This window comes from Homo sapiens, chromosome 10 (genome assembly GCF_000001405.40).
Source record: "Homo sapiens chromosome 10, GRCh38.p14 Primary Assembly".
NCBI classification, from domain to species: domain Eukaryota; kingdom Metazoa; phylum Chordata; class Mammalia; order Primates; family Hominidae; genus Homo; species Homo sapiens.
In genome coordinates this window covers 119,407,396-119,432,088 of record NC_000010.11, presented here as the reverse complement: position 1 = coordinate 119,432,088, position 24,693 = coordinate 119,407,396, and the positions used below count along the sequence as shown (strand labels likewise).

Genomic DNA, 24,693 nt, shown 5'->3' with positions numbered 1-24,693 from the left:
GGGGCAGCTGTTAGATGGAGGAGGGTGGCCCAATCTGATTGGACTTCAGGTGAGTGACAGATGAACCTCTGCTGTATTTAGCTACTTAGGGTTTGGGGCAAATGTGTTACTGCAGCAGGGCCCAGCCTAGACTGACTAACACAATGCACACAGACTTGATAGTGCCATTCCAGGATGCTGGCACTAAGGTCCCCACCACGATGGCACCAGCCTAGAGGGTCTGTGGAACCCACAGCTCCCAGCCTGGGCCCAGGTGAACTTTCTTTGTCCACTGAGGAGTTTACAAAGTGGTCCAGGAGAACAGAGGCGTCGGTCTCATGCACAGCAGGGAGCCAGGCACTGGCCGGCTCTGGGGATGGGACAAAGCCAGCCACAGTCGACCACAATGGGCCGTGTGATGGAGGAATGTCTTGCGGCCTTTCTGTAGCTCAGCGCTGCCACTGGCATTCCCCTTCCCAGGGGTGGGGACCGGCCGCATTAGAGGACCACGCCCTTCCGGAGGGAGGGAAGCCCCAGTCCACAGAAGGGCGAGCCGGTCACTGGGCCCAGATGCTCACTCACCACAAACTGACTGTTGACCTTCTCGAGGATCTGCTTCTCATTGAGGGCCATGGACTCCCCTTTCCTCTTTTTGATCCTCTTCTTCTCCAAGCGCTTGCAGGCATACATTTTACCCGTGGCCCGAACCTGGCAGGCACAGACCTGCAGTGCAAGAAAGAAACCAGGGTGGCAGGAGCACCGTGGAGGCCTGCCCCGAGCTCCTCCAGGGCGGGGACCACAGGCCTCCCAGGTAGAGAATGGATGGGGTCAGAGCCGGCCCTGCCTGGCTTCATGAGTGCTCCAGGCTCCCAGGACCCAGTGATGCCTGGCCTGGGGCCCACAGCTGTCCTGGGCCCTTGCCCTCCCTCCTCCTCTCCTTCAAGGATTCCCAGCCCTGGAAGGGGCAGAATGAGCCACTCACACCAAGGCTTAGATAACTGACTGGGGCCCCAAGTACCGTTCCATTCCCAGGGCAACAGGATTTTCTCCTACCGGCTGCCGGTAGAGAAGTTTGTTTTGGGAGGCAGTGATAGGAGATCCTCAAGAACACTGACTTCATAATCCAGATAAGCGGGAACCAAAGCATTTGGGCTTAAGTCTTAGCTCTGCCTCACATTGTCTGCGCGCCCTTGGCTGGGTCACCTAACCATTCTGGACCTCAGCTTTCCTCATCTCTAAAATGGGAATAACAAGGCTTGCCTCACATGCTGGGAAGATCGGGTAATGTACAACGAAATCTCGAATCTTGCATGACAGCGTCATCCAGGCACTGAGTGGCCAAGGTTGCCCAGCCTCCTCACGCCCTCACATCTCCTCCCCACACACGACCAGGGCTGCCCATTTGTCCTCTGCAGGCTGGATCCTGCCTGAGGCTGGCAGGAGAGCACGTCTGTCTCACCTGCCCAGCTCCACAACCTCTTTCCACCATAGACACACCTGATAGCCCCAAGGCCACTGACTCTCTCCCACCCTCACTGCCCCCGGGGCCCACATTGAGCCACTGGTGCCCCCGGGGGACCCGTGGGCCAACCCTTTAGGTTGATTTAGAAGGGACAGGAAAGGTGACTTGAATGTAAGAACTTTCAATTAAAAACGTGAATGTTCACTCACCTCCCCGAAGCCCCCTTTTCCTAGCACTCGATACTGCCTGAAAGTGTTTTTGGTCACCGGTTGCCTGGAAGAAAGAAGAATCCCACACTGGTCTCATGGTGCCAAGACTCAGAATCCACAGGAAACAGTGGCACATTGAGAGCAGCTGGGGTGGGGTATAATTCCAGGAGCCCCACAGCAGCCCCAGGGACCCCCCAGGAATCATCGCTGGAGACTGGACCTTCGAGGACTTAGTCTGAAGCTGAGTGTTCAAATCCCAAGCCCCCTGGCCCCCAGCCCCCAGCCCCCTGCAAGCTGGGGGATGCACAAGCCTCGCTTGCTCAGAAAGCTTGAAAAACCTGAGTGCAGAGGTGCTTGACCACACTCTCCATGTGGTTCTCCTCTCTCTGCAAATCATGCGGCGAAACTCAGAAGGAAGCTGTGCCTTCTGTGCAGGAAGGGGTGGGGGCCAGGAGCCACAGAGGACCAGCGTCCCACAAAGGACGCGAAGGAGGTCACAGCCCTCCCTACACCTGTGCATCTCAGTCTGCCCAGCAGGATGACAGTGCTTCCTGTCCTGGGCATGGCTTATTCCTTCCTGAGGGCACTCCTGCTGCTGGCCCAGAAGACCCGGCCTCAGGAGGGGGCAGAGGCTGCTGGTCTTCAAATCGTGTCCTGGGGATCTTTACCATTGGTTCCCAACCTTTCCACCACTGAGGACCCTTTATTGTATTTCCCACATAGATGAGGAACATGAGAAGATCCTGCCTGCCAAGATCGGATTGGAAGTAATGATCACCTCGCGTCTTCCAACTCCTCGTTTTAATGAGCCAAAGCCATTTATGACATTGAATCAGACAGAACTTCTGATCATGAGGCATGATGGCACTTTTTGGACTAAGCAAAGACATGGTCCTATCTAGTTGCCATAAAGGACATCACGGTGCAGAGGGCTTGTGGTTTGCATTGCTGGTCTGTTTGGCTACAAATAATCAGCTTAAAACGTGAAAATTGGCTCTTGGCTCTCCAAGACTAAACTCCTGCTCCTAAATTCCTCAAAAGTCCCGACCAGGGCAGGGGTTGGATCGAGCAGAACTGGGCCAAAGAACTGGGTCAGCTGAGGATGACCAGGGAGCCTTCAGTCACCCAGCAGCTCTTGAACGAATGAGTCTTCCCTGGAAATCACATCTGTGGCACCACAGCCGCACTCTGAGGAAGGCCCTGAAAAGCCAGGGTACTCTCTGGCACCCCATCTTGAATTTGCGTGCCATGGCTCACTTCTCCCTTCACCAGTGCTTCCTCAGGACACAGGGCCCAAACCCCACCGAAGCAGAGCTGCCCCTCTGCGGGTATCCCGCTCTTCTGCACAGGAGCGGCTGGACAGCCAAAGGGAAGAGCTGCCACACGCCTGCCTCGACCACGTGGCCCTGGGAAGCCTTCCCTACAGCCGCCCCCGGAAACCACATGAAGGCGGCCCGCCTAACAGTTTACGATGCATGGAGGAGAAACGGTTGGTTGACATCTCCGCAGAACTCCTCTGCTGGGGGAAATGAGTGGAATGCAAGCTCCCAGGAATTTCTTGGTTAACCTTGGGAGGAAAAAAACCCTTGACTATTTCAGCAGTACAGCACCAACCAGGCAGGATCTTGTGCAGGGTGCTATCTGATATGTAGGGCATTCCTAGGCCAGGGTCCTGCCCTACAGGCTCCAAAAACTTAATGCCTTCTTTGCAATCAGGCCACAGAGTAAAAAGGATAATTTCTCCATTTCATGTGTTTGGTGCAGATAAGAAAAAGGAAAGCCAGTGACCACCGACAAAGGCTGCTATGGGAACTGGAGTGCTGGGTGGACCAAGGCCCAAGGACTTGGGAGGGGGCCTCTGGGTTCAGGTTCCAGCCTTGCCAGGCCCTTGCTGAGTGGCCCAAGGCTGCTCCAACTCCTCTGAGGAAAATGATCATGAGAAGGCCTTACATCCAGTGGAGGGCTCTTTGTAAACTGGTGATGTGTCAGATGTCATTATTTGAACTCCTAGGAATAAAGGGCATGCCCCCCTCTGGGGGTCTCTATAGTAACAATACCTACTGCTCCAAGCACACATGGGGGCTTCTATAATCCTCACACAAGCTCAGGGAGCAGGGATCATTATTGTCCCCATTCTGCAGATGAGAACGCTGAGGCTTCAAGAGGTGAAATGAGTTGCCCGAGGCCCTAGCTGGTAGCGGTGGGCTGGAGTTGGGGTCTAGGCAGCCCATGCTCTGTATCCTGACCCCACACTGCCACTCTGGGAAGGTGGACACAGATTGGGGTTGTGTGTTGCACAGCCCAGGGCTCCAGAACCGGGCGTGGGCATGGCGAACACAGCTCCACTAGACTGCCCTGTAATTGGCAGAATCAGGACTGATCCTCCAGCAAGAGTTGGCTGTGCCTCCCAGTATCAGACCTGGTGAAGTGGGACTAATGGCAGTGATGCTGTTGATGGCGGTGATGCTGATGATGGCAGTGAGGCTGATGATGGCAGTGAGGCTGATGATGGCAGTGATGCTGACGGTGGCGATGATACTGATGATAGCAGTAATGCTGTTGATGGCAGTGGGATATTGATAACAGCAGTGATGCTGATGATGGCAGTGATGCTGATGATGGTGGTGATGCTGTTGATGGTGGTGATGCTGATGATGGTGGTGATGCCGCTGATGGTGGTAATACTGATGATGGCAGTGATGTTGACGATGGTGGTGATACTAATGATGGTGGTGATGCTGTTGATGGCACTGGGATATTGATAACAGCAGTGATGCTGATGATGGAGGTGATACTGATGATAGCAGTGATGCTGATGATGGCAGTGATGCTGATGATGGTGATGATGCTGATGATGGTGGTGATGCTGATGATGGCGGTGATACTGAGGATGGTGGTGATACTGATGATGGCGGTGATGCTGCTGATGGCTGTGATGCTGATGATGGCGGTGATGCTGATGATGGTGGTGATGCTGATGATGGCGGTGATGCTGATGATGGCAGTGATGCTGCTGATGGTGGTGACGCTGTTGATGGCAGTGATGCTGATGATGGTGGTGATGCTGATGATGGTGATGATGCTGATGATGGTGGTGATGTTGATGAAGGCAGTGATGCTGTTGATGGCAGTGATGCTGTTGATGGCGATGATGCTGAAGATGGTGGTTGATGCTGATGATGGTGATGATGCTGATGATGGTGGTGATGTTGATGAAGGCAGTGATGCTGTTGATGGCGGTGATACTGATGATGGCGGTGATGCTGATGATGGCGGTGGGATATTGATAACAGCAGTGATGCTGATGATGGCAGTGATACTGATGATAGCAGTGATGCTGATGATGGCGGTGATGCTGATGATGGTGATGATGGCAGTGATATTGATGATGGTGGTGATGCTGCTGATGGCTGTGATGCTGCTGATGGCTGTGATGCTGTTGATGGTGGTGATGTTGATGGCGGTGATGCTGTTTATGGCAGTGATGCTGTTGATGGTGGTGGGATATTGATAACAGCAGTGATGCTGATGATGGTGGTGATGCTGTTGATGGCAGTGATGCTGTTGATGGCAATGATACTGATGATGGTGGTGATGCTGATGATGGTGATGATGCTGATGATGGTGGTGATGTTGATGAAGGTGGTGATGCTGTTGATGGCGGTATACTGATGATGATGGTGATACTGATGATGGCGGTGATGCTGATGATGGCGGTGGGATATTGATGCAGTGATGCTGATGATGGTGGTGATGGTGATGATGGTGGTGATGGATGCAACAACTGCATTCAGCAGTTTACTTCCTGTGGCCAAATGGCTGAGCTTTGCGGAACACCTGCCTTGTTCCAGCAGGTGTTGTGCTTATCTTATCTCCTCCTCAGCCCAAGCCCACAATGCAGGCACAATCATCCACATTTTACAAATGAGGACACTGAGGTGTAGAGTCGTGAGTGACCCTTTCTGAGGACCCTCCTTGGGAAGAGGCAGAGGCGGGACTCGGACCCAGGCTGGGGGCTCTGGTGCCCTCAGTAGATGTCTAGGCCAATCCTTTGCCTCTCAAGCTTTCCTGGAGTCATGATGTGCCTGTGCAGGGTGGACAGCGGCCACTAAGGAGACTATCTCTGGTCACGCTGTCATCCCCACCAGTCAGGTGGAGAGAAACCACCCATCCATGGCCGCAGAGCCAAGGGTTTTCTGCTGGATTTCTGGAAGCAGGCAGGGAAGGGCTGTGAGTGGGGTTCAGAAGGGCTCCTGGCCTGCAGCTTCCTGAGTGTCTACGGGGGACACAGCCAGCTGTGGGGCTGGCAGGCAGCAGTGGATGGCTCCTTTCTCACTGGATGCCCCCAGATGGCTGTGCATGCCAGGCCTCTGGGGACAGGGACTCTGGGCTGTGGGAGGGGAGGCTCCCACCCTCATCTACCAGCTCGGCCCGGCATGGATTTTACACAGGCATCGCCCCGCTCTGCAAATCCTGGGCCAGTGAAGGTAGCAGAGCACTGCGCTGGGGGCTCAGGGCCGGGGCCTCGTCGGCAGCACTGCTGGCTTGCTGGGAAGCTAAGTCAGGTCCTATGTTCTGCTTCCTCATCTGTCACAGAGGGACACATCTGCCCAAGTCACAGCCACGCATGGGCGAGTACTTTGAAGAGAATTAGACAGCAAGCACACAAGAAAAGACACTTGGTCTCCCCCATTATTAGAGAGACAAGAAAATAAGCAACAAGGAAGCGCCCTGCTCACTCACGGGATAGGAAAAGACGAGAACAGCATTGATGAAGCTGAGGAGCAGGCACTCGGGCACTGTGGCACTGGAGGTCAGGGGCAGCTGTTTTGGACAGCAGCTTAACAGCACTCACGGTTTAAAATCAGGTGCCTTCTGACCCAGAAATTCCTCTGCTAGGAATTTCTCTGGATGTACTTGCAGAAGTACTTAAAGATTTATGTACAAAGCTATTTATTATTTAGGGAGGGCTCCACACAGAAAAATGGAGAACCAACTCAATATCCATCAACAGGGCACTGGATTAAATCAAGGATGTGCAACTATTCCAAGGAATATGGCAGCTCTTTATTTGCTGACAAAGACAGTGAAGTAAAAAAAGTAAGAACGAGATGCTGTTTACATTTGCGTGAATGTGTGTTTGTGTGTGTGTGTGTGTGTGTGTGTGTGTATGTGTGTGTGCTTGAATAAGCATACAGCATTTCTAGAATACACAACTTAATTAACAGGGGGAGTCGGGTTAATTTTGTTTTAACCATGAGCCCACGGGAGGTAACTGATTTTTATATGAATTCTCAGATGAAAAATGTGTACCCTCTGCCTCCCTGATCTGTATGGGGTGTGGTGGACTCACCTTTCCAACCACTTCCACTGGAGAAAGCGGTCAAAAAACATGCTGTCCAGATATTCGTGGAATGGTTCTCCCCTCAGGTACTCGTGGACAGACCTAGTGCAGATGGAACAAGAGGATGAACATTTTATAATCCCGATCTTCAAGCAGGGGGGCAAAGCTGTGTCCAGCTTTGGAAATGCAAGTAAACAGGGCCTCTCAACCCATGCAGATGCAGCACGTCTGGCCAGAGGTCCTGCCATTCTACTGAGGGTTGTATGAAATTGGTTGGTCCTGCCAACACTTGTTGGGTACCTGCCAAGTGTTGGGCACTGTTCTAGGCCCTGGGATATAGCTGGGAGCAAGGGGTTGGCATTGTATGTGGGACACAAACAGTGAATAGCAAACATGAAATAAATGATCCCAGAGGTATGTCATCATGAATGAGTTTGGGGGGACTGGAAGGGTAGAGGGGTCTCTCTAAAAAGTGACCTTAAGCTGAGAACAGACGAAGACTTAATGAGGGGCTGGGAATCAGGGGTGGTGGGTGGTTGGGGGAAGGGTGGGGCCACAGCCCCTCAGAACCGCAGCTCTGGATCTGGTCTTGGACTAGCAAAGCCACTGGGAGTTTTTTTATGCATGCATTGGAATTCACTGGTCACCTGCTGTGGGCCAGGTGCCAGGCCGAGCCCTGGGATGCTGTGGATCTCTATGGGTCTTAGGCCATCAGGGCAGGTTCTGAAACTGTCTGCAGGCAGCTTCTTTCCTTTAGAAAGTGGCCACACTGAGTAATCTAGCACAGGCACTTGGAGCCTGGGGAAGGGAGGGGACTATGGCAGGTGGGGCACGTCAGAGTCTGTGTCCTGCCAAACCTGAAAGCCATCGTTGGGAGCCAAGATGGCCATTCCCTCAGGGTCAGAGTCACCAACCAAGACCCCACCCACTGTTGGATCTGATTCCTGGGCAGCTCCAAGAGAGCAGCAACCAAGCTTGCTCTGCCCACCAGGGCCTCTCTCCAGCACCTAACCCACTGCTTGGTCCCAGGACGGCCCTCCCAGCTCCCCTCAAAGTGCATGCAGGTTGCTGTTTTTCTTGTAAAAACTCCATGAAAGCCAGGATTGGGTTCTTGTTCACCTTGGTATCCCCCAGCACCCAGCACAGTGCCAGGTACACAGTAGGTACTCAATTGATGTCTGTGGTGCTGAATAAGGGCACACAAAAAGCCCCTAAGATCATCCAACTATGTGGGGTAACCTGGCTTTGGAGAACTTTCATGAGCCTGTGTGTGTGTATGTGTGTGTGTGTGTGCTTGCGTGTGTCAGCAAGTGACTTGTGTGTGCTCCTCAGTGCTCATGCCTTCAGAGTGTGTGTGTGCAGGATGGGGTGGGGGTTTAGTTGGTGCTCTGCTGGCAGCATGGCCATCGACTTGTGTCACCTCCTGCACGGCAGACGTGCCACCTGCAGACAAGGTGATGGGGTTTGGCTGAGAAGCTCCCCCTGCATCAGTAGCACTGGCTCGGGTTGGTGGCAGTGGTGGGGGTTGAGGACCCTGGGAAAGACTTCCAAACCACCCAGACAGGGTCAAATGTTTGCACATTCCTCTGTCTCAACAGCCTGGAGAGCCACTTGCTTTCAATACCCTTTGCAGCAGATGTTTTCTTTGGACTTGGCACCTTGATATCTTTTTCTCTTCGTGGGAAGTATACAAACAGTTGGTATAACTTGGCTGAAGCTGTCAGGCATGGAAGACCTGCCTCAGTGCCCTGTATGGTCAGGTGGAGAGCTGCGGCATCCCATCTCTGGGCAGCCCGGGGAGGACAGGCCAGGTGACTACGGCACTTACTGTGCACAGGCAGAAAAGAGTTCTTTGCACGGCTTCTGTAGGAGCTTCTCCTCCGTCTGGGAGACCAGGTCTTGGCCAACTTGGGCTATGAAAACAGGGGACTGGAAGAAGGAAGGGAAGGGAGGTGGTCAGTGAGGAGCCAGCAGCAGTGCGGCCGGGTTTGCCCACAGGTGTTGGGCCAAGAACCAGCCACGCTCCAGGTGCTGGTACATCTGGCAGCCCGTCTGTGCCCCAGTGTGTGACCTGCTGCCCCCTCCAGGCTGCACCTGGCTCAGGGCTACCTGGACACTGGTGGTTTGGGGAGGTGGCTGAGCTGGAAGGTGGTGAATGAGCCTAGGTTCAGGATGAGACTTCTGACTGTGTCACTTACAGGCTGTGTGACCTCATGGAGGTCACTTGGCTTCTCTGAGCCTCATTCCTCATCTGCAAAACATTGATAATGACAGTCCCCATGGCCTGGGCATGTAGTCAGAGCTGACAAGGTGTGCAAATGCTCCCAACCATAAGGGGCTGTGCAGCGTGACCCAGCTCATCACTGAGCCCCCAGCAGGCTTGGTGACGCCCCTTGGCCATGCTGGGCTTCTTTCCTCCGAGGGCAAAAGAGAAGATGAACACCTGCCCAGCCTCGAGGTTCATGTGTGAAAGGGTTTGGATCAGGCCAAGGTGGACAGGAAGGCTCAGGAGGGAGGAGGGTGGTGAGGAGGGGAGGGGAGCTATAGCCCCGGAGCTGCAGGCTTGGGTTTGAATCCCAGATCTGTGACTCGCAGCTGTGGCCTTGGTCTTAACTGCTCAGCCTCACTCTTGTCAGGAAGACAATCAGGAATAGGAGTTTCTCTTGGAGCAAATCAATAAAAGCTTCAGGTAAGGCATTTGGCCCAGATCTGGCAGTAGTAGCAAGCACGTAATAAATGTCACCACCGTTGTTTCTTTATCTTTCTAGGTTAAGCTGCTGGCCTGAGTATTTTAAATTTGAAAGGACATTTCAGAGAGTTGCTGTGTCCTACCCAGGAGTGGCGGCCGCATCTGGAAGGCAGCTCCACCCAGGGCAGGCCTTACCCACCCCCTCCCCTCCTCCCACCATTCACCCTCTGCCAGCTGTTCCCAGGGGCTGACTCACCAGCTGGGCTTTGAGATGGGTTTTTAATAAATTAAAGAGATAATTGAGAAAATTGCTGGGAGTGGACTCAGAAAGATGGGGTGTGGACACAGCTCTCTCCCAAAAGGATGCTGAAATCTGAAAGCCTTGCCTCCTCTTCCCTATGGGGCTGATTTGCTAAGAGTCCACTGGATGGTTTCTGGGCGGGGGTGTCAATCCCTGGGGGTGGAGGGGACGCCCGAGGCAGCAGCTGGCCTGTCCTTGGTGAATGGAATCAGTGGCTTGTTTTCTGTTCCCCACGGTTCTGAATGTCCAAATCCCTTCCTTCCTTCTTTATTTCTTTTCTAGGTCCAGCCCTCTCTGCAGGCTCACCCCTGCCCTCAGGGTCTCCCAGCTGAGCCAGGCCTGAGAGGCTTCAGCTTCTTGGGGGGCAGCCTGCAGTGTGGATGCGAGCTGCTGTGACAGTAAACACCACTTACCCAAGTGCAGGCCAAGCCATTCCCACCAAACAGCAGTCTCAGAGCACATTTCCCAGTTACCAACAGCAGCCTGGGTAGTGGCTGCTGTCTCCCACCTGCCTTCCCACTCTGCCCCAGGAGACACAGAAGAGCAACCCACAGAGCACGGGTCACAACTTTTGCAGAAAAGATCCTCGATGTCATGGGAGGAGCCCCAGGCCAAGAGCCAGGAGCCTGAGCTCTGGCCCGGCCTCTGACCTTGGCCATTTTGTGCCTCCGTCTCACCCTCTGAAACAGGAAGGAGCTGCTCCAGAGATGCCTGAAGGGTCCTTTGAGATTTGGGAGTCGACAACTGGGGGCTTGTGCCTCTAAGACTTGGAGAACTTTCTTGGAAATTCTGGCAGCTGAGTCTCTTGGGAACCAGTACCTCCAGGCTACTTCAGAGCAACTGAATATTAGCACAAATCCCGAGGCCCTGGGCAAATCTGCTTCAGGAAGGAGAGAGCCGATGGCTTGGCACCCTTAGTCCAGGAGGGCCCAAGGCCTGGCACGGAGCTGGTGCTGGTTGTCTGTTCGTGAGCAAGACGATACAATGTGTTGTGCCAGGATATGACCTTGAGCCTGGTGCGAGTCAGCAAGGACCAGATAGAGATGCCAGCAGGGTGGGCCATGGGGAGAAACAGAATGGTCAGAAGGGGGACCTGAGTTGCCCACCTGTGTGCACTCTGCAGGGTTCTGCCTTTGTTTCCACCTAGGAAGGACCCACCCTTACCCACCACAGGCACAGCCTGGTGCTGGGCAGGGGTAGAATTAAAAGATGAAGATGAAGCCAGGCAGGACTCAGTGGCTCATGCCTGTAATGCCAGCACTTTGGGAGGCCAAGGCAGGAGGATTGCTTGAGGCCAAGAGTTTGAGACCAGCCTGGGAAACATAGTGACAGCCTATCTCTACTAAAAATAAAAAAAGAAATTAGCCAAACATGGTGGCTTGCCTGTAGTCTCGGCTACTTGGGAGGCTGAGGCGGGAGGATTCCTTGAACCCAAGAGGTCGAGGCTGCAGTGAGTCATGATCACACCACTGCACTACAGCCTAGGCAACACGGTGAGACCCTGTCTCAAAAGAAAAAAGAAAAAAAAAAAAGAAAGAAAAAGAAAAAAAAGAAAAAAGAGATGGAGCTAGTGTGGTTTTGACCTCAAAATACTTTTTCTCCAGTAAGACAGAAATGATATATTATAAGGTATAATATCCCAACAGAAAAGTTCTTATGCCTCTCGGTTGTACTGTACATGGTGATGTACAAAATGGGTTGGTTGAAATTCAATGGCTTTCAAACCTTCTTTCTTCTTGTTTTTTTTTTTTGTTTGTTTGTTTGTTTTAGTAGCAAACTTTTCTCCTCCAAATGAAATTTATCCACAGACCCAATATTTAAAACCTATAAAAATAACTTAATTGGTAACAATAGCTTACATATACTGAAGGCTAACTCTAGTTAGGTCCTGGGCTAAACACATTGCTTCATTAATTCACTGAATCATATCCTGAGGTGGCTATTATTATAGTGTCCATTTTGCAGATGAGGAAACCGAGGTCCAGAAAGGTTAAGCAATTTTCTCAGGGTCACTCAGCCAGTAAGTGCCTGAGAGGGGATTTGAACCTAGGTTGGGTGTCTAATGAGTGAGATCTGGCTGGAGGGAGTGGGCTGTCTGGGCCACCTGTGCCCCACTCTCACCTTATCCCCTCAGGACCCATAAGGTCTGACCCTAGCCCCCGGTACTCTGCAGAGCTCAGCATGAGGACCAGGGTGCTGTTTGGTCCCATAGCAGAGGCAAGTGATGCAGCTCGAGACAATGAGCCCCACGGCTCAGAGAAGGGAGGGGTCATTGTGAGCTGGGGTCATCTGGGAAAGGCTTTATAGAAGACGGAATAAGGGGCAAAGCAGAATTTGACCCTCCTACCTGCAGGCAGGGACAGCCAACTGAACTCCCTTCTCAGCAGATGGGAGAAGGGGATTGTCCAGGGTCTAGAGGTGACCCAACTGTGTACATGAAGTCACACCACTCTCATACTTTGGATTGGCTGGCAGGGGAGCTCTGCCCAAGGGCAAAGCCCTAACAAGGGAGTTAATGAGTGGGTAATAATGTCTGGCTTTATAACCACTGGCTCGACTTGAAGAGATTAAACAATTCCAACCCAACCCCCTTTCAAGTGCCTCCAGGGAGTGACACCTTTGCCAGTAAGATGGGAATAAGAAGCTGCTGGCCATTGCGTCTGAAACTAAAGCCCAAACCTGCCAGAAGGGTAAGAAGCGAGTAGTTGTAGTCGGACATTTATTATTTGCATCAATGGAACCAGAGGATGTCTGGTCCTTCCCTGGAAGTCACTTACAAAGAGAGACTCTTTAAGAAGGCCCTCCGCTGGCTGCGTGTCAGATCGGATACACCGTGTAAGAAACAAGGCACCCAGAAGCTCAGAGGGCTCTGGGGTTCTGAGTAACCTCAGCTCAGCACCGGGATCCATCCACTGGGTCTTTCAAGGCAGGAGAATTCCATGCAGTTTCAGATGCCTGGCTGGTGGGCGGTGGGCTGGAGAAGGGAGAGGGGGGAACCCTACAGGCCGGGTGGGTTCTGGAGAGAAATGTTACCCTCACTCCACTGAGGACTCAGGAGTGTCAGGAGAGCTATGGCTGGGCAGCACTCTAGCTCTTCCTGCAGGGATGTCCCTCTGGGATGGAGCTGATGGTCAGGGGTGCCACGCTTCCCCCATCAAAGATGCCCCTTGAATGTCTAACCATACAGAAATCCAAGCGTGAGGGCCTCAAGGCCTGTAGATACCTGCAGAGGTGAAGGCAGCCAGGTTGGAAGGGGTCTTGGTGGTGCTCGTTGGTAAAATTGCCCCAGGGGTCCGGGACCCCCTCAGGTCACCAGGTGGTCTCCTTAAACAGCTCTAGCTGCAGACCTCGACTTTAACACAACAGTGAATTTGGGCACCAAGGTTCCTTTGAAAGGATCAAGTTAACTGGAAGGAGCAGGGGAGTTTCTCTGCTTGAAGTCCCCGCCATGAATGCCTGCCCCTTGTGGCCTTGCACAGCTGAAGCTACACAGTGGTCAGCCTCAGCCTGGCCCTGCCAGAGTCCACTCTGATGACAGTCAGGGTGACACCCAGCTATCCCTGAGCAGGGCTCTGTAATCATCTCTCTGGGACAGCTGAAGACACCAAGATACGCCCTGGGGACACAGCTGTGTAGCCTGGGGTGCTGGCAGGAGACATCTCTCCCCTCTGGCTGGATGAGAAAGGCCTTGCCTGCCATGAGGAACTGCGGGCTGTGAGAACCCCTCTGGCAATCACTCCCCAGCGCTGAGCTCCCCACCCACTTCTTTGGTGAAGGACTCTCCCCTTCTGGTCCCCCCTGAAGCTGGGGAGGGACAGAGGTAACCTTGAAGCTGGGGGCACTCTGCCTGCTCTGTGAGCTGGTTCTTCTGTATAAAAGCCCCCTTCACCTGGAGGTAAAAGAACCTGCCCTGCCTCTCTCTTGGGATGGGAAATTGACCTTGAATCCTGCACTGGAGGAACCTGGGGCCGCACTGGGCCAGGGGAGCCAAGGCTGCCTGCTATTCCAGCGGGCAGATCGGACAGAGCTCGTGCTGGTTTGGAACTCCCCTCGGGACCCCCGATGACTCACTCCTTCTTACCACCTCTTCCCTATGGCCCAGACTCGCTCTCTGCTCTATGCCACTGGTTCTGGGGATCCGGGCAGTTCCTGATATCTGTGATGACCAGAATGTACCTCTTCAGGTAGCAAGAGATGAAACTTGCCTGGGATGTTTTTCTGGGCACCACAGGGCACGGAGAAAAGCTCTTCCCATCACTTGGAACATAAGTAGGGCAGACCCCCCACCGAAACGGATGAAGTACGCCTAGGGTGACTTCGCACCTTCACTCCTCTCTAAGCCTCTCCCCTCCTTTTTGTCCTCATCTCATGCATCCTCTGCTGCTGTGACCCTAAACCGTATCATGCCGCGTAGGTCGCCTCTCTCATCTTCTGTTCCATCAGAGCAGAAACCTCTGGGATATTCAGGCATGGTGTGGATGATGTATTGCTGACCACTAACGATTCAATGCACGGGAGGCCTTGGAATTTTCAATGATGAGACTGTTGGGGTGGCAGTGTGGTTGGAGAGAAGAACTAGGGGCCTGTCCTGAAGCTGCATTTGTACAGCAATGGGTTTAGAGTGAATGGGGTGACTTGCTGGCTAATCCCTTGCCCCCAGCACCCCTTGGTACAGCAAATGCTCATTGCCGCACCCCTCCCAGGTCAACTGCCGCTTCACAGGCGCCATCTGTGCTTAACCTGAAGCAGGAATGATCTGGAGTATTTCAGACACTGAGGCAGGCTGGGGAGGAGGGGTGCTGAGGAGGAAGGCAGGGGCCAGGCCTGGGCATGAAGCCACCCCAGTGGGCACCACACTCAGCACTGAATCCGGGAAGCACGTGTGGATCACCCACCACACCCGAGGCTGATGCTCAGACACCCACCCTCAGTGGCATTACAGAGGTAGGGACCCAAGCACAAGGGCAGGCGACAGCCCAACCCCAGTTCTGCCTCCACGCATTCAGCCAAGGCCCATGAAGCAGGCCGTCCACAAGGTGGTGCCATTGCTTCCCTATGCTCCTTCACCCCAACGGCCTGCCAGCCTTCTGGTCCCCAAAGACTTGGGAGGCCAGGTGGGCACACCTGGAATAATTACCAACTGACTATAATCTCAGACCAGAGGAGTACGGCCTCTGCAACAACAACTGAGGGGAAAAAGGGGATCAATTCAGCCAGGTGCGGTGGCTCACGCCTGTAATCCTAGCACTTCGGCAGGCCGAGGTGTGTGGATCACTTGAGGTCAGGAGTTCGAGTCCAGCCTGGCCAACATGGTGAAACCCCATCTCTACTAAAAATACAAAAGTTAGCTGGGCATGGTGGCATGCGCCTGTAGTCCCAGCTACTCAGGAGGCTGAGGCACGAGAATCGCTTGAACCCAGGAGGCGGAGGTTGCAGTGAGCCGAGATCACTGAGCCACTGCACTCCAACCTGGGCAACAGAGTGAGAAGCAGTCTCAAATTAAAAAAAAAAAAAAGAGAGAGAGAGAGCGATCAATTCGAGAGGGAGCCCTAGAGAGGTCATACAGGCCTGGACCTTGAAGGAGAGAGAAGCTGGACTGCAGGGCCAGCGCCTGGAGGACAGAGTCAGCACTGAACAGAAAGGGAGATGCTGTTCGGAGTCAGAGGGACTAGTGAAGATCATGGGAAATAAGCAGGAACGGCTGGCAGGAATGCTGCCGTAGCTTGAGGCTGACCCCCTCCTGGGGCAGCTATCAGTGGCTGAGTTATCAGCCCCGAGGATGGCGTCGCCAAGGCGGCTGCACCTGCTCTCCCGGCACTGCTCCCTGCCTCTGCACCATGAATGACTGACGTGAGGAAGGGACATCATTTCCTGCATCAGTGCGAAACTCCAGATGTTTGAGGCTCTGGTTCCCAAAGCATCTCCCTGTATTAACATCCCTTGTTTCAAGTGTCAGGGTGGAGATGGAATCAGTTGTACTTGGCTGGTGCCCTTGGAGGCACCCAGGGATGAAGCGGGACTGAAAGACCATGAAATCAACTCAGAGCTACACCCAGAGGCCTCCCCAGAGCCACCGATAATCCTTTGCCCCGCGTCACCCTGGGAACTGTCCAGAAACACAGGCCTGATACTCGTTCAGAGATTCAGGAGTGAGACGGCGGAGGAGGTGGAGATCAGAGGACCCTCCAGGAAAGACCCCTCAGGGCTCAGCCCTTCAACCCACTCATGGCACAGATGGGGAAACTGAGAGAAGGGGTCCCCTGCAAGTCACTTGCTGGCCCATGGCGGGGCCAGGATTGGCACCTCTGACTGGGAGGCATGGATCTGAGTGGTATAAGCCCTTAACCAGGTATCCTGAGCCAGCCCTCTAGGAAGGACATGGCTTTGGCCTCCTTGGCCCCAGTCAAAACCAGCTGGCCCCCATTTCACAGCTGGGAACACTCACATCTAGCAATCTCAGCCGTGGCGTCTCTGCCACCCACTGCCTCCTCTCCATCCCCAGCTGACTACCCTGGTTTGGAGAATTCTCTTCTCTTGTTTGGACTATTGAGGAGGCTCCTCACAGGTCTCTGCTACTCTTTGCTCTTTCATTTGACACAATGGTCCCCAAAGGAGTTTTTCTGCACCACACAGCATCAGCGGCCCCCAATGCCTATAGGACCAAGTCTAGTGGCTTCTTAGACCTGGCCCCCAACACCCTGCCCGACCTGCTTCCCCTTTTCTTCCCCTGCTCTCCAGTGCTCTGGCCCCACACTGGCTGTTTCCTGGGCGAGCTCCAGCTTTCTGGCTACTGGACCTTTGCTTGGTCCCTTCGTTCCTTCCCACCCCTTCATGGCATGTCCAAACCCCACCCAGTTCTTTAGGACCTGCTTCTGACATAACCACATCTAAGATGATCCTCCCAGCAGGCAGGACCGTTCTTCCAGCCTCACCTCCTGGAGAAGGCTGCTACGATCATTCTCATCATCACTGCCATCACTGCCATTTCTTTTTTCTTTTTCTTTTTTTTTTTTTTTTTTTTTTGAGACAGAGTCTCACTCTGTCACCCAGGCTGGAGTGCAGTGGCACAATCTTGGCTCACTGCAAGCTCCACCTCCCAGGTTCAAGTTATTCTCATGCCTCAGCCTTCTGAGTAGCTGGGATTACAGGCACGCCCCACAACACCTGACTAATTTTTGTATTTTTAGTAGAGACGGTGTTTCACCATGTTGGCCAGGCTGGTCTCAAACTCCTGGCCTCAAGTGATCCACCTGCCTCAGCCTCCCAAAGTGCTGGGATTACAGGTATGCGTCACCACACCCGGCCATCATTGCCTTTTCTTGAGCACCCACTTATGATATGCCAGGTCCTAGGAGCTTTATGTGGAGTAACCTTGTTTGATCTTCTTAAGATAGGTTTTATTATTCTTACTGTCCTCACTTCACAGGCGCAGAAATAGGCTCAGAAGTTAAGTAACTTGCTCAAGGGCACATAGTTGGCCTGGGAGCAAAGACAGGATTCAAACCTAGGGAATCTGGCCAGAGAACCTTATCCCTGAGCACCAGCATGTACTCCAAGGATGCCACATTCCTTCCTAGACAGTGTGCAGGAGGATGTGGTGTTGAGGAACAAGCCCTCCCTGGAGGCCCATGGGGGCTGGATAAGGAGGTGCGGTGGACTCTGTGTGTTTTGACCAATGGTGTTTGTATAGTGCTGTCATGTGTCTCTCTCTCTCACACACACACACACGCTAACGTCCAACATATGCTTCACTTCAGTAGAGGAAAACATCCCACTGAGGAGCTCCGCGCTCATTAGCCATGGTTCCGTCAGTGGACAAAAGGTCGGCCCGGGAGACTGTCCACTCTATCTCCAGACGCAAGCACTTAGGGCTTAATGATGTGTATATTTTCATATGTGGGCAGCTGACATTCCCCATGTAAACTATTTGCAATTTCCCAACGTGGACAGGCTCAGCTTTCAGGAAGGCTGAGCAGGAGAGAGAGACTCTCTGGAAGAAAGGGGCTCCCAGGGGTCCCCTTCCTTCCACACAAGGGGGCTGCCCTGTTCTGCTGTCATGGGGTGGAGGTCATTTCTTGGGAGGCCACCCTCATTTCTCCTCCGGGGCGGGAACAGAGGAGGGGCACTCCCACAACCATACCCTGGCCGCCCCTTGACCCTCCTCGAGGGGATCTGCGTCAGCTACGGGAAGCCTGGCCTGGGCGGGGGCAGGGGTGGGAGTCGGGTCTTTAGCAGGAGCCAGGGCTGGAGGCTGCTGTGGGCGCCTGAGGGACGGGCCGGCCTAACAGTCACGGCCCCTGAGAGAGGCAGGCGTTGTGCTGGGCCTTGATGTGGGTTTTCTCATAAATTTTTACTCCTGTTGCTCTCCAGAACAACACTGTGAGGTGGGGGCTTACTGTTCCGGGGTCACAGATGTGGAAACAGAGCCCTAGAGAGCTCTGTGAAAGGAGGAATGTGGTCTCATTCCTGCTTATCAGGATGGAATGCAGCACGGCACCAGGTGTGCTGTGAGGGTTCCGCAAATGCCCGCAGACGGAACGCTTAGCAAGTAGCAGACCTGAGACGCAAATCCAGGCCTGCCCAGTTCCAAACCCTGCAATCTCTCCACTCTGCTTTGCTGAATGAACTGATGATGTTCCTGGCACATAGTAGGTGCTCAATATGCTTGTTGGATAAGTGTGTGTGTGTGTGCACGCGCCTGTGTGCATGAGTGTGAACGTTCACAGCAGGAAAGAAGGAGATAGAGAATAGCAGGTCTGTCCACCAGAAGGTCCTTTATGGGGTCATCTGCTCTGCCTCCTGCCTTTGTAACATGCTGGGCCAATCACAGTGCTAAGGAATTTTCTTAATTAAAACCAGATGGAGGGGCCGTGGCCATCTCAGGAAGAAACTGTAGGATAGGGTTGCTGGGTGGGGGAGAAGTGCCCTGGTTCGGGGGTTCCCAGCCTAGGTACCGCCGTGTCGGTCTCATGGTTTCATTTGACCATAGGAGAGAACGCCCTCCTCCTCATCTCTGCAGTAAATTCCCTCTTTGTTTGAGCAACTGGGAGGAAAGTATCTGCCACTTGCTGCCAAGAATCCAGACGAATTCACCATCTGTAAAATCAGGGGCTTAGGCCAGGTGAGCAGGAGGCCTCCAAGTGCTCTTCACACGGCCAAGAGCTCCCCTCGTCTCGCCGAGCTCCGATTCCCTGAGCTCACTCAGCCCTGCTCACCCAGCTGCAGCGACGGGGTCTGGGGTGGGGAAAGCAGAGGGTGGTGGGGCGAATGGGGGCTGTTCCAACCCTAAACCCTGGCTTGCAATTAAACATGCTCATACGGTCACAACCAGAGAAAAAGGTTTGCTGAGCAGCAGGCGCAGAGAGCATTTCCTCACTTGAGGGTTGATTTAAGGCCTGGCTGACAGGAAGAAAAAGCACCATTCTTCCACCTTTTTAATCAAAACCTTCAGGGCCATGTGGAAAAGCCACTGCCACACACCCTCACGTCCGTCTGGAGTGGTTCCTTTCTCTGTCCATGGCCAGGCAGGAGACGTGATCCACAAGCCCCAGACAAGAACAGACCAAAGGAAAGAAGGCAGGGTTTGGTTTTCGGGGTCACTGGGGAGAAAAATAAATCAGTCCGGCCACACGCTCACGAGCTGTGCGGGCTCGTGGCCTGTCCCTCCCTCCACCCTGGGCCTGATGCCAACATCCAGCAGCCCTCGGCCCAAGCACGCCCAGCTCTTCACCGGGGTGTCCTCGTGGTCAGCCCAGGCGATGGACTGCACGGCCCGGGCACCGTGCCAGGCACAGCCCTGCCAGGCAGAGACACACCGGACCGGCAGCCTGTGGGTAGAGGTCCTTGTGATCGAGGCTGGAAGGCTCTCACTGTGCCTCTTTTGAGTTCAAAGGAAGGTGATGCTCACCGTTTCCCATGAAGGTGGGCACAGCCTCCAATCAGAAGCGGATCTGAGGCCGGGCGCAGTGGCTCACGCCTGGAATCCCAGCACTTTGGGAGGCCGAGGGAGGTGGATCACCTGAGGTCAGGAGTTCGAGACCAGCCTGGCCAACATGATGAAACCCCGTCTCTACTAAAAATACAAAAATTAGCCAGGCGTGGTGGTGTATGCCTATAGTCCCAGCTATGCAGGAGGCTGAGGCGAGAGGATTGCTTGACTCCAGGAGGTGGAGGTTGCTGTGAGCCGAGATCGCACCACTGGACCCCAGACTGGGCGACAGAGCAAGACTCTATCTCAAAAAAAAAAAAAAAAAAAAAAAAAAGAAGCAGATCTGCAATGAAGCTGAGGAGGCCGAAGCTTTAGGGTTTTGTTTGTTTGTTTGTTAATTGAGACGGAGTAGTCCTTTATTTGTAGTCCTGGGAGCTACAGAATGCTCTATCTTGGGAGACAGAGCATTTCTACAGAAGCACTTCCGGGAAATTGAGGTCACAGATGAAAAGGATATGAATCTCCAAGCCCTCAGTAATTTGTTGTGATTTCTTTTCTCCTTCTCAATATTCACTTTTGTACCTAACCTCCTATTCTTTTTCTTAAAAAGCATGCTCAGCAAGTTATTTAAGCTTCAGTCCCCCCTCAAAGAAACTCTGGATCTTCCCTTGTCTCCAACTCTCAAAGGGGCCTCTCCAGGGCCCTTCCAGAGGCCATGATGCCTTTAGGAAGATGGCATCCAGTCTGCCATTTTTATCTTTCCTTGGTGAACAGTCCAAAGACCTAGAGTCTAAGGGGTCTCTGGGCTCTCTGGAGTCTTGTGTGTCTGGCGGAGGAGAAAGTGGGAGTGACACCATGACACAGTGTTCAGAAGTAACCAGCATCCACGAAAGGCCTGTGACTCCATCATGGTGCAGACACACACCACCACTCTTGCAACCTCCTTAATTCTTTGGCTGAGGATCTCTTGTACCTCTTTGGTGGTGACCATGAGGGTAGCTGGGTTTTCCACCAGGCCAGGAAGAGACTTCAAGGCATGGGAGCTGTCTTTGTGAGCAGAGGTGGAGGTGGGGCCACTGCTCCAGTGACCAGTCGGAAAGCTTCTTCAGCTGGGGTCCATCAGCCATACGGGTTCCCTGAGTGCCCATTCTGTGCCCAGGCCATGAGGTCCACCCTAAGGACCCCAGAGACCAACTCTGTTGGCCAATGGCAGGAGTTCAAGGTCAGCAAGGACTGCAGGCTGTAGAGTGCAGGTCACAGCCCCTCAGCACCTAGGAGAGAGCGCTCACAGAGGTGGCCTCTTTAGACACAGGTGGCTCCACGGCTGTGGAGAGGTTTGATCATGGCCCAAAGGGTAAAGGGGGTTTAGCCAGGCAATAGGGAGGACCCTTCTATCCTCCAGCTCATGCCATTTGTGCGCTAGGAACTCTTCCAAGACTAGAGCTCTGGATGAATTCACTTTTCCTAATGGCAGAACTGACACTTTTCTAGACCCCTTTCAGATGGTAGGGTTGCACTGAGGATCACAGGCAGACAGCAGGCTCAGGGCTATGAGCAACCAAGTGAGGGCCGTGTGGCTGGGAAGTGCTGGGAGCAAGCCTTGCCTTGGGGCTGCAAAGCGTCGGGGGTGGTTCCAGCCCCTTCACAGTGCCCTGCTGACCTGGTCAGCCTGAGACCCAGCGTGTCATGTTCTCTGGGCCAACAAAGTAGAAAAACCCAGCCCTTCAGAAATAGCTGCAGCCCTTCAAGAAAAATAAAATGGACTGGGTTTGAAAGACCCTGACCCACATTTCCTTTGCTATTCCAGTGGCTTCACAGAAATAAGGAAGAAGTGCGCTTAGGGGTCGGGAAGCGAGGGAAGATATCTTTAAACGCTGGCAGAATTTAACTGGGGGCCCTGAGAGCTGGGCAACTTTAATGAGAAGGAAAGGAAAATACACAGTGACCCTGACCCAGACCCCGACCCTTTACGTCAAAAGCAAAAGACGATAATTAACAAAATGCAATGTGCCCGGACGTGGAGTGAGAGGCCAGCTGAGCTCTGTCAATTTGATAATCCCTGGTCGTGACCCGCAGGCCCAAAGTGTGCAACAGGAGATGACGCACTGTTTACACAGGCCGCGCACGCGGGGGCTCGCGGGACCCGGCGCAGCTGCAGGAGCAGCAGCAGGAGTGGGATTCTTCCTGGCCAGTGGTTTGCATGCAGCCAGCTCCGCTCAGGCCAATGCAACCACATGCAGGTCACTGACACATGGAGCCCAGGCCCTGAGGTGCTGGGGATGTTCACGGTGGGGAAACGGTGGGGAGTGTCCCTCATTCTTTGTGCGTGATAGGCGAGGGCAGGGCCCGCCAACTTTCCTTCTTCCAGAACACCCACCACCCTCCTCAATCCGAAATCATGTTGGATTTTTCTCCAGTGAAGACTTCATCCCTTCGGGCTGCAAAATAAAGGGGTTGGGGGGCAGGGGGCAGGAATCTCCTACGAGCCAGGAAATTCAAGAGAACCTGCCCCTCACCTCAGCCACGTGATGCCACTTCTCTGCCCAAGGTCCACGGATGGGGAGGGCCTGCCAAGCCACAGGGACCAGGATCACTGCCACCCAGGACAGAGTTGGGGGTGCCCTCAGGAAGCCTGTGGCTGAGTCTTCTGTCTGCCGCCACTCCAAAAGAGAGGCATTCTGGACAGGAAACACTATGCACACACATTAAGGACAGGGTCAGAGGCAGAGCCAGCTCTGCCAGCATCAAAGGAACCTCCAATTTTCTGACCTGGATGGTCATGAGAAAGGAAAAAGGACCTAGATGGGCCTGCCCTGGCCCACTGTGAGGAGCTCCAGCAAGGCACATCAGCCTCAAGGGCGTCAGGAGGCGCCAAGATGAAATCAGGCTGTGGGCAAAGACAATTTGTTTTCCAGGAAAGGTTGGTGAGGGGTGGGGTGTGTCTATTTGAAGGACAATTACACAGTCATGAAATATGCCGCGCAGGAGACTGTGACGTGAGAAGATGCTAAGGACACAGCGCAGAGTGGAAGCCGAGGCCCAGGTTGGGGGTCAGGAGCTGGGCTGGGCCCCGGAGGGCGCTGGCATGCACAGCCTCTGGACGTCAGCCCGACACCGCCTCCGGGGCTTGCTCATTCCCCGGCCTTGCTGCTTGCCCCCTGCTACACCTGGGAAGCTGATTCAGTGGGAACTTTTGTCTTTGGTTAACTTTCAAGAAGACAACGCAGAGGAAGAGAAAGATCACAGGCTCCAGCATCGGACAGGCCAGCTTACATTCCACTCTTTTCTTGCTCTTTTTCTTTCATTGTGGTAAAATAGACATAGCATAAACTTCACCATTTCAACCATTTTAAAGTGTACAATTCAGTGGCATTCATTACGTTCATCATGGCAACCATCACCTCTATCTTGTTCCAAAAATATTTATCATCCCAACAGACACTCTGTACCTGTTAAGCAGCAACTCCCTACTCCCTCCCTCCCACGTGCCCCCTGGTAGATGCTAACTTACTTTCTGCCTCTATGGATTTGTCTATTCTAGATACCTCATAGAAATGGAATCACACAATATGTGGCCTTTTATGTCTGGCTTCTTTCAGTTCACATAATGTTTTCAAGGTTCATCCACATTGGGGCATGTATTAGCGCTTCATTCCTTTATATGGTTGAACACTGCAGTGTAGTGATAGACCACTTTTGCTTATCCATTCATCCGTTGATGGATACTTTGGTTGTTGCCATTTTTTGGCCATTGTGATAATGCTGCTATAAATATTTGCACACTAGTATCTGTTTGCATCTGTGTTTTCTGCCTTTTTTTTTTTTTTTTTTTTTTGAGACAGGGTTTTGCTCTGTCACCCAGGATAGAGAGCAGTGGTGCAATCATAGCTCACACTGCAGCCTTGAACTCCAGAGCTCAGGTGATTCTCCCACCTCAGCTTCCTGTGTAGCAAGGACTACAGGCATGCGCCACCATACCCACCTAATTAATTTTTTTTTTTTTTTTTTTTTTTGAGATGGAGTTTCACTCTTGTTGCCTAGGCTGGAGTGCAATGATGCAATCTGGGCTCACCACAACCTCTGCCTCCTGGGTTCGAGCGATTCTCCTGCTTCACCCTCCCGAGTAGCTGGGAATACAGGCATCCACCACCACGCCCGGTTAATTTCGTATTTTTAATAGAGATGGGGTTTCTCCATGTTGGTCAGGCTGGTCTTGAACTCCCGACCTCAGCTGATTTGCCCGCCTTGGCCTCCCAAAGTGCTGGAATTACAGGCGTGAGCCACCACACCCAGCCCCCCAAGTTTTCTTTTCTTTGTAGAGATGGGGGTCTCGCTGTGTTGCCCAGGTAGGTCTCAAACTCCTGGCCTCAAGTAATCCTCCTGCCTTGGCCTCCCAAAGTGTTGAGATTACAGGCATGAGCCACCATGCCCAGCCTCCCTGTTTTCAATTCCCCTGTTTTACCATTATGAGCTAAAGAACTCTGACTGCCTGGGTAAAACAAGGACAATAGTGTCTACTACATAGGATAGTCATGAAGATAGAATGCACTAAAGCTATAAAGCATGTCGCATACAGTAGGTGCTAAATTAATGCTATTTTCTCTCACCTCTTCCACTAAAACCCAGAGAGTTAATGACTTAGTGCTTAACTAGTAGAACTTCCGGCAACAGCCAACTTCTCTGCTTTGCACAGACATTACGAATGTCTCAGCATTTAGACACTTACTGGCTTAAAGAAAAAGCACCTCAGAGGAATTGAAACCCAGCTGCCGGCCATCCCC

At 53.1% G+C, this 24,693-nt stretch overlaps 1 protein-coding gene across 1 annotated transcript in view, besides 2 other annotated features; it reads right to left on the bottom strand.

The window, feature by feature from the left end:
- Nucleotides 1–24,693, bottom strand: part of GRK5 (G protein-coupled receptor kinase 5) — a 252,175-nt gene that overhangs the window by 27,657 nt on the left and 199,825 nt on the right. The window contains exons 5-8 of the mRNA NM_005308.3: nt 8,823–8,923; nt 7,004–7,096; nt 1,651–1,714; nt 562–702 (exon numbers count right to left, since the gene is read on the bottom strand). Coding sequence (NP_005299.1) covers nt 562–702; nt 1,651–1,714; nt 7,004–7,096; nt 8,823–8,923 — 399 coding nt within the window. The remainder of the gene's footprint in view (nt 1–561; nt 703–1,650; nt 1,715–7,003; nt 7,097–8,822; nt 8,924–24,693) is intronic.
- Nucleotides 2,557–2,726: an enhancer, noted in NCBI's record as "experimental_10067 CRE fragment used in MPRA reporter constructs". NCBI's record gives its function as "activates a minimal promoter by MPRAs in K562 erythroleukemia cells, with activity observed for the non-introgressed 10:121188960 or rs883133 variant allele {active_cell/tissue: K562}" and the evidence as "EXISTENCE:reporter gene assay evidence [ECO:0000049][PMID:34662402]".
- Nucleotide 2,641: a transcriptional cis regulatory region, noted in NCBI's record as "Neanderthal adaptively introgressed variant 10:121188960 (GRCh37/hg19 assembly coordinates) or rs883133 in the experimental_10067 CRE". NCBI's record gives its function as "modulates activity of the experimental_10067 enhancer by MPRAs in K562 erythroleukemia cells {active_cell/tissue: K562}" and the evidence as "EXISTENCE:reporter gene assay evidence [ECO:0000049][PMID:34662402]".